The 9,644-nt window shown below is 41.1% G+C and overlaps 1 long non-coding RNA gene across 1 annotated transcript; it reads left to right on the top strand.

Moving 5' to 3' along the window:
* Nucleotides 1-252: 252 nt before the first annotated feature.
* Nucleotides 253-5,088, top strand: LOC100507395 (uncharacterized). The gene is made up of 2 exons (XR_950600.3): nucleotides 253-4,104; nucleotides 4,935-5,088. It is a non-coding gene; the product is annotated as an uncharacterized LOC100507395 (long non-coding RNA).
* Nucleotides 5,089-9,644: the final 4,556 nt, after the last annotated feature.

Below are 9,644 nucleotides of genomic sequence, written 5' to 3'. Positions count from 1 at the left end.
AAATACAAAACAATTAGCCGGGCATGGTGGTGCAAGACTGCGGTCCCAGTGACTCAAAAGGCTGAAGTGGAAGGATATCTTAAGCCTGGTAGGCAGAGGTTGCAGTGAGATCATGCCACTGCACACCAACCTGGGGAAAAGAAAGAAAGAAAAAAGAAGAGAGAAAGAAAGAAGGAAAGAAAGAGAGAAAGAAAGAAGACAGAAAAGGAAAGAAAGAAAGAAAACAGAAAAGGAAATAAAGAAAACAGATGTACAAGTATACATACTATATAATTTTGTTTATATAAAATGCTACAATCAAATAAAACTGAGGTTCTGACTTCCACTAAGTGTGGACTAGCTTGTTGAACTCTCACAAATAACAATGATGAAACTTGAATAAAATATATTATTATAGAAAAACGCCTATGCATAATACATATATGATATGTGTGTTTAACAACTGAATGAAGATTTCAGCTATACCCACTGTAGCGGACATAAGCATTGGTTTGACACTAGCCCAGTGAACCCTGTTTATAAAACAAAAGTCTTCAAGGTAAAACAGCAAAATCCAGAGTTTCTATTCTATAATTATCATTTATAGTTTCTAGTGCACAATTTTAAAATTCATAAGACTTGTAAAGAAACGTGAAAATGTCATCCATACACAATATCAAAAGCAGGCAGTAGAAGCTATCCCAGGATGTTGCAATCAGCAGACAAGAATTTGAAGGCAGTTTTTATGAATATGTTCATGGGGAAAAAAGAAAATATTCTATTCATAAACAAACAGATGTGGAACTTCAGCAGAGAAATGAACATATATATAAAAAAATTATAGATAAGGAAATGAAAAAAATCTTTTGAGTTTAGCCATAGATTTAAAACAGAAGACACAGCAATAGAAATTATCCAGTCTGGAAAAAAAAAAGTACAAAAAGTTTAAAGGAAATGAACAGAGCTCTCGAGACCTGTGGAATGACTGAGTCTAAGGAGAAGGGAGAGACAAAAAAAAAATTAAATAGGGAACAGAAGTAAATCAACAACTAATAGCGGAATACTTCCAAAAACTGTCCAAATACCTAAATATTTATATCCAAAAGGTCAATAAATACAAAACAAAATACAAATAAAACCACAGCAAGGCCATATCGTGGTTTATGAAACAGGCAAGGCAGGGCTTTTGCTTGACTTGCTGTGATATCTAATTGCTACTATTTATGGATACTATGGAAATAAATACTAAATAGAATGGGAGATAGGTTATTCTCAGAGTTTTTTTTTTTTTTTGCAAAGATGACTGTTATTAAAGGTAGATGACTTTCCAGCATGTCGAAAGGGGCGTGGCAGGGGAGGGGCGAGGAGAAGGGTCGGGGCTGAGGGAGGGGCCCTGCAAAGGTCTGGGCGCGCCCAGCTCCCCGAGAGCAAGCGTTACGGCAACGCTGGGCAGGCTGTTGGAGGCTCCCGGGTTCTGTCTTGTCAGAGAGAAATCAAACTTCAGGCACAAATAGTCGTACAACTGGCACGTGGGGAGACTGTGCCACAATTACAAGTGAGACCACCTGCCCTGGCCACGCTGTCTCCTCGCACGCAGAAGTCTGGGAACAGATAGGCTCCCCTCAGCAGGGCGGAATTGCACTGGAAACATGGAGGGGCGGAGGAGAAGATGAAATTATCCCCTCAGTGTTGGAACTGTAGTCTCAGAGAAGATGAAATTTTCCCCGTAGTGTTGGAACTGTAGTCTCAGATCCACTCACAGCCTTTCTGTCGCGGCAGTCGGACTATGATCCCAGCATGCGCTGGGCTTAAGGGAGGTTCCCAGCCCTGGAGGAAGGGTCAACAGGGTGGGTCCCTCGCAAGGCGTCCTGGGAGTCATAGTCCTTAAACGGTTTCCAGCACGTTGATCGCAAGGCTACCGAACTACAATGCCAGCATGCACCGGGATTGGGGCGGTGTGTAACGCTGGAGGGAAGGATAGAGAGGCGCGTCCCTGGCCAGGGATGCTGGGAGTTATGGTCTCTTAATGGTTTCCAGCGATGGCCCCCGGCCTGCAGACTAAAATCCCAGCAGCCACCGGGCTTCGAGGCGGTGTGTAGCACTGAAGGGAAGGATAGGGAGGTGCGTCCTTAGCCAGGCGTGCTGGGAGTTATGGTCTCTTAACAGTTTCCAGTCAGTTGGTCCCAGGATTACCTGACTACAATCCCAGCATGCGTTGGGCTTGGGGGCGGTGCGCAGCCCTAGAGGAAGGATCGGGACGGCGGGTACCTCGCAAGGCATCCTGGGAGTCATAGTCCTTTCAGTATTTCCAGCCCATTGGTCGCGAGGCTAACGGACTACAATCTCAGCATGCGCTGGGTTTGGGGGCGGTGTGTAGTATGGAAGCGAAGGATAGGGAGGCGCGTCCCTAGCTAGGAGTGCTGGGAGTTTTGGTGTCTTAACGGTTTCCAGCCCATTGGTCGCCGACCTGCTAACTACAAAACCAGCATGCGCTGTCTGTCCTCCCCCGTGGTGCGCAGCCCTGGAGGGAGGGACAGGGCGGTGTGGACCTCGTCCTTTCCTAAGCGATGCCACATGCTGATTCTGTGCCACCCCCTCGCCAAGGGAGTCCGCAGAAGGACTTGAGGGGCAGGTCTAGGCTGGGCGATGAGGACGGTGTGACCCTGCGAAGTGCACCTCCCTTGCTCAAATCGGAGGGGTCTGGTCCTCACTGAACAGCCCGCTGAACATCTCGGTGTCCTCTCACATACACACCCGCGGGGGGTTTCCAGAGCATCGCACCTCTTCCAGCCCAGGGAGCCGCCTGCTCTGCTAAACTCTATGGGAACTGAGACATCCACCTGCTGCGTGACCCACCCGTGCGCAACTTCAGAGCTTTCAGGGGGTGATGCGGGCTGTGGCTCCTTCGTGAAAATGTCACCGTCTGCAGCGCCTTTCTTGTGATATAGAACTTGACGGGTGAGAGCGGGTATTTCTTGGGTTACTCAGGATCTGCTAACAGCAGAGGAGAAAACCACAATTCCCAGGCATAAGAATCTACCTAAAGATGATGGTTTAGATATTTTACAGTTGAAATCACCAGCCTCATCTCAACTGAGTCCTGACTGACGAGTGTCTCAAAAAAGCAGTTGGTGACCTCATCCCTCAGGAACAGGTGGTGCTCCAGCTTTGTGGGGATGACTTTCAAGGTGCAGAGCACTTGAGCCGCATTTGAAGTCATTCGTGTTTTACATCTCTGCTTTGGATGGAAAGTTGATCCCCCACAGCCGTTGGGGATGTACCTTAATATACTGGGGCTTATCAGTTAAATTTTTCTGTCTAGACAATGAAAACCCAGAAGTTCCACTTGCAGGTAGCCTCTTAATAATCGACGTTCCTAAGTTCCTTATGTCCTCAGGATAGTTCCTTTTGTTCCCAGATGTTACCAACTTTGATGATGCATCTAATCTGTACAAACCTGTGTATTTCTCTATGTGAAAAGAATACTTTGTTCAAATTACATGTTCTTATAAATTTCACTTGTGATCGGTGAGTATGGGACACTATAAAAAAATCCTGAAAAACCTCATCATAGCAATTGAATCACGTTACTGTACTTTATGAGGAATTAACCCCTTCAGGATGAATTACTCATGGGTTCATCAGCACATTTGTGAAGAAAGGAAGAAAAACTGTATGGCCTTTATGAAATTGGAAAAATAAAGAACTATATATAGGAGGACCACAGCACAATACTAGGACCCTTCTCTTATTTTAAATAGACTCTATGGGGTCGAATGCCTGCATTCCTAACCTATCCTGCAGTATTCTCATCCTACTCTTCACTGTGTATTTAGGTGGGGGTTTCTGAATTCACTTGTCCACAGCGTTAGTGGGGATGTTGTAACGTGAGGGTATCCATCATCTATCATCTTAATAATTAATGAAGAGAAGAGCCTTGAGATCTGTCTTCAGATACACTGCTGTCGAGTATGTGCCTGCAAAGACACTGCCCACACCGGTGGTCTCAGAAAGTTGAACCTGATGCCACCACAAGCTGCTGTTCACAGATCTAGGTGCTCCTTGTGATTTGAGTCTCCTGCTTACATTTGTGGTTGTGAACCTGCTATGCTCACGCCATTTATGGTAGTATATTTTGTGTCACCTTTTCTATTCCATTTGTTTCCTGGGAACTCACTGTGTAACTGCAATTCAGAGAATATGTAGGGACTCCACCCCCGACTACCTAAGTCACTGTACACTGGTCACATTTGTGTCATGTTTTCAGACTACACACTCTTCCTCTCTAATGGAATTTGTTGAAGAAATATAGTTGCCCTGTAGATCTCCTCAGTGTAATGTGGCTGGGATTGATTATGAAGCTGGGCATGTTGTCCTTGGCCTCATAGACATTATTCAAAATACCTTTCCCATATTTTGAAGTTTGATACTACTTTGTTAATGTGAACACTTGCCATAGCAGGCTCTATTAAATATCTCTGTGAATTTAACTGTCAAAACAACTTATGAAGTAGGCACATGATCCCCATTTTACAGGTGAGGAAACAAATGTTCCAAGATTTTGAGTAATTTTATTAACTTTACACAGCTTTCTGGTGCATTTTGAATCTTAAGTTGGATCTCTTTCTCCACAATGTGTGGGCTTACCTCCTTTTCTATTTTGTGCCTCTCTGCTAGCATCTGCAAGGGTACATTTTATTTTTAGTACATCTTCCACTTGATGGTAGGAAACTTGACAAACAGATCCTTAGTGGGAGAGGAAACTCAGTGGCATTTGTCCTTCTCTCTGCTCCTTCTTACCCTGGCAGGCATGAGACTTATCAAGTGAGATGGAGCAGTGGTAGATCCTGACCAGTCCTCACCTGGAATATTTGTTATTATAAAAAAATAGTCCTCTCATTTTTTACAAGTGTAACTTCTTTGCCTTAAAGTTTTGTCTGGGCTTTCTCTTACAGGTTCCTGTGAATGAAGTTGCAAATATTGATGAAGATAATACTACTGCCTTGCTGTCAAACAGTAACAGTCACCTTTTTTTGTATCTCCAATTATAAATGCAATACATACTGTAAAAAGAAAAGAAAACATCATAAATATCTTTATAAAGTAAAAGTCTTGGCTGGTCTCTGGGAGCAGTGACTCATGCCTGCAATCTCAGCACTTTGTGAGGCCGAGGTGGGTGGATCATGAGGTCAGTAATTTGAGGCCAGCCTAGCTGACATGGTGGAACCCCATCTCTGCTAAAAAATACAAAAATTAGCTGGTCTCGGTGGCGGGTGCCTATAATCCCAGCTACCCACTAGGCTGAGGCAGGAGAATCACTTGAACCCAGGAGGCAAATGGTGCAGTGAGCCAAGATCGTGCCATTGCACTCTAGCCTGGGCAACACAGTGAGACTTCATCTCAAAAACAAAACAAAACAAAAAACTTGGTTGGCCTAGTGGCTCAATCCCAGCACTTTGGGAGCCCAAGGCAGGTGAATTGTTTGAGCCCAGAAGCTCAAGACCAGTGTGAGCAACATGGTAAAACCCTCTCTCTACAAAAATACAAAAATTAACCAGTTGTGGTGATGTACACCTGTATTCCCAGCTACTAGGGAGGCTGAGGTGGGAGGATTGTTTGAGCCTGGGAGGCCAAGTTTGCAGTGAGCTGAAATCACACCACTGCGCTTCCATGTGGGCAACAAAGTGAGACCCTGACTCAAAAAATAAAAACACATTAAAATGAAAGTCCCCTTTATTCCCTTCTCTTCAAACTCACTTTTTTTATTTGAAAAAACTGTTAAGAGGTTGTTTTTTATTCTTCTGGCTAAGTTGTATAAATTTCTTTTTTTTTTTTCGAGACAGACTCTCGCTCTGTTGCCCAGGCTGGAGTGCAGCGGCGCGATCTCGGCTCACTGCAAGCTCTGCCTCCCGGTTTCACGCCATTCTCCTGCCTCAGCCTCCCGAGTAGCTGGGACTAGAGTTGCCCGCCACCACACCCGACTAATTTTTTGTATTTTTAGTAGAGACAGGGTTTCACCGTGGTAGCCAGGATGGTCTTGGTCTCGATATCCGGCCCCCTGATCTGCCCACTTCGTCTTCTCAGAGTGCTGGGATTAGAGGCGTGAGCCACCGCCCCCGGCCTGTTCTATAAATTTCTAAGTGATACACATAAAGTTTATTTTAAAAATTACATCACACTACATTAAAATTTACTCTTTCTCCAGGTGTATTCCATCTATCTATCTATCTATCGATCATCTATCATCTATCTATCTATGACAAGGCCTTGCTCTGTCACACAGACTGGAGTTCAGTAGCTCAATTATGGCTCACTGCAGACTCAAACTCTCAGGCTCAAATGATTTTCTAACTTCAGCTTCTGAAGTAGCTGGGAGTACAGGTGCATGCCACTACTCCTGGTTAATTTTTAGTTTTTGTTTGTTTTTTTCTTTAAACAGGGTCTCACTGTGTCACCTGGGCTGGAATGCAATGCATAATCACAGCTCACTCTAGCCTTGACCACTCAGGCTCAGGCAATTCTCCTGTCTCAGCCTCCTGAGCAGATGGGACCACAAATGTGTATTAACACACTTGGCTGTTTATTATTATTTGCAGAGACAGGGTCTCCCTATCCTGCCCAGGCATGTTGTGAACTCTTGTGCTTAAGCAATCTGCTACCTCGGCCTCCCAAATTGCTGGAATTACAGATGTGAGCCACCACAACTTACCCAGCCTTTTTACTTTGTGTAAGAATAGCATCAGTGTATTAAAAATACAACGGAAATTATTTATGGTGTCTTTTCAATTCTTATGCATTAAAATTCTCTTATTAGGGCCTTTTATTAATGGTTACAGTGTATTTTCTGTGAAATTTTACTGTCACACACTGCATGCCAATGATTCAAGATACACGAACTTCATGAATGCACAGTCACAGTAGAATATTTTAGTTATCTAAAAAGTATTTTCATAAATGATATATCAAGTTTATATGCAAGGTAGCCTGGTCTGGTAGCAGGTGCTTGTAATCTCAGTGAAGGCTGAGGCAGGAGAATGGTTTGAACTCAGGAGGCGGAGGTTGAAATGAGCCGTCGTCTCGCCACTGCACTTCAGCTTGGGTGACAGAGTGAGACTCTGTCTCAAAAAAAGAAAAAAACTTTGCTTGCAAGATTTTATGAGTAAATATGTTTCTTATTTTTCTTTACAATTCCATATTACTGTCTCGATTATTTAGAATAGGTTCCAGGGCAGCAGTTGATTTTATTTTGGGTTTTACTTATGTATTATAACTTTGGATGTTATAATTTCCACCTCTGCCTGTACACTTCAAGTCAATGTGGATTTTTAAAAAAATGTTAATAGTACAAACTATTCATAGATTCAACTTCATAATGTTAAAAGCAACGGCAGCTCCTGGTTTAAAAAGGGAACGGTGGAAGCAGCCGGCCATTTTATTTAAAATCGCGTTAGATTTTTCAGATGGATGATAGTTAAGATCATTAAATCCCATTACTGCTTCTAAGATTTCCACAAAATAGCACATTAAATCCTCAGTCCTAAGCAATCACGACAGAGATTCAAAATTGCCTCTCAATGTCAAGGTAAACAGCGCACTATCTTCTCTTGCAATAAAGGTACATCATTTGATATACAAGGGAGCATAGCAGTCAGACACTTACAAGATCGTGCTGTAGAAATAACTTCCATGTTTTCATCCGCCATGTGTATCCTCACCTCTGTCTCCCATGCAGTAACACTATCAGTTTCCTCATCTGTCCTTTCCACTTTCTTTGAAAGAGGATGCTGATTGCAGACAATACATGACAGAGGCATTTCAAATCAGAAAGGAGTGTCTTGAGATATACGTGATTTTAGTTTTAAGTAGAATGTCCTGAAGAGTTTTAGTTACAATACCACCTTCAAGAGGATGGTGGTGAAATTCATAGTAAACATTTGGCAAAATATAGGTTATGAGGCAGCCATCTCCTAGAAACACTTCATCGGGGTTTATATATGAAATGTGAAATATCGTAGGTTTAATCCTGGCACAGAACCAAAACTGAGTGCATTGCACTTGAACAGCTGACCAATCCCCAGCACAGGTCCATATGAAGAAACGGAGAAGAAAGAATCCTTTTAACCACAGAAAGCTCTTCATTTGCCCAAACTAAAAACCAAATTTCACTCAGGAAACTAATGTTGGGTTTAATTAAAATATAAATCGGTCATATGTTTTCAAAATTAAATTATATATGTGTTTGTCTCTATAAATATGTCCCCAACTTTGCTCATGGCTTATCTTCCATATTTTTTGGCTGATTTTCAGTGGTTGTCTTATCTTGTGTGGATGAATAGTCATTGAAATAATCTTAATTTCACAATGTGTTTAATTATAAATCTATACTTCCTTTGTGTGAGAGAAAATCTTTTGTGAACAAAATTTAATTTTTGGAAAGCTTTATAAGTCCATATTTTTCCTTTTAAAAATTGCGATTGTGGTAAAAACACATAATGTAAAATTTACCATTTTAATTCTTTTTAAGTGTATATTTCATTAGCGTTAAGTACATTCACATAGTTATGCAAAAGATCTGTAGAACTTCTATGTCTTGCAAAACTAACATTAAATGTCTTTTAAGACAATTTCCCATTTTACCATCTCTTCAGTCCTTGACTAACACCATTCTAACTTTTTTTTTCCTATGAGTTTGTCTACTTAAGATACCTGATTATGAATGGAATCATAGACTGTCACTTTGTTCCTGGCTTATTTCAGTTAACGTGATATTCTCAAGAATAATCATATAATGTGACTTTTTAAAGACTGAATAATATTCGACTTTGTGTATGTGCCACTTGTTATTAATCTCTTCATTGGTCAAGGGACAGCTGGGTTGTTTCTGTCTTTTGGCTTGTGTTAGTAATGCTGCAATAAATTTGGGTGTGCAAATATCTCTTCCGGATCATGTGTTGTATATTTTAAATACATAGCCAGAATGGGGTTTGCTGGATTGTATAATAATCTCATTTTAAATTTTTTGAAGAGCTTTCATACTATTTTAAAAATAAGTTTGATGTGATAGATTATTGTGACTTTTCTTTGTATTTTTCTAGAAGAGAGTTCTCGAGTATCCTTTTAAATGCCTAGTCATTTCTATGTCTTCTTTGGAGAAAGTCATTTCAAACATGTGCCATTCTAAATCAAGTTATTAACTTTTTTTGTTGTTGAGTTTTAGGAATTTATATATTTTGAAAATTAACACCTACCAAATATGTGATTAGAAAATATTTTTACTCTTTTTTGTTATATGTATGTATGTATGCATATATATAACCCTATACAAGACAGGGTCTTGCTATGTTTTCATGGCTAGTCTCAAACTTTTGGCCTCAAGTGATTGTTCTGCCTTGGCCTCCTAAAGTTGTAGAATTAAAGGCATGAGACACCATGCCTAGCTTTCACCCACTTATTAGGTGACGTTTGTATGGCACTAAATGTTTTATTTGATGTGTAGAATAGTTGAAGCTTAATGTAGTCCTTTTTTTTGGTCGTTGTTCTTTTCCTTGTTGCTTATGAATTTGATGTCAAACTTAAGGAAAGAGTTTTAAGACTTATGTCATAAACTTTTCCCTTATGTTTACTTCTAAGAATTTTATTAGGTTTTATGTTTAAGTATTGAATTC

The sequence above is a fragment of the Homo sapiens genome, unplaced genomic scaffold (genome assembly GCF_000001405.40).
Source record: "Homo sapiens unplaced genomic scaffold, GRCh38.p14 Primary Assembly HSCHRUN_RANDOM_CTG11".
In the NCBI taxonomy this organism is placed as follows: Eukaryota; Metazoa; Chordata; class Mammalia; order Primates; family Hominidae; genus Homo; species Homo sapiens.
This window is presented reverse-complemented; position numbering and strand designations above follow the sequence as displayed.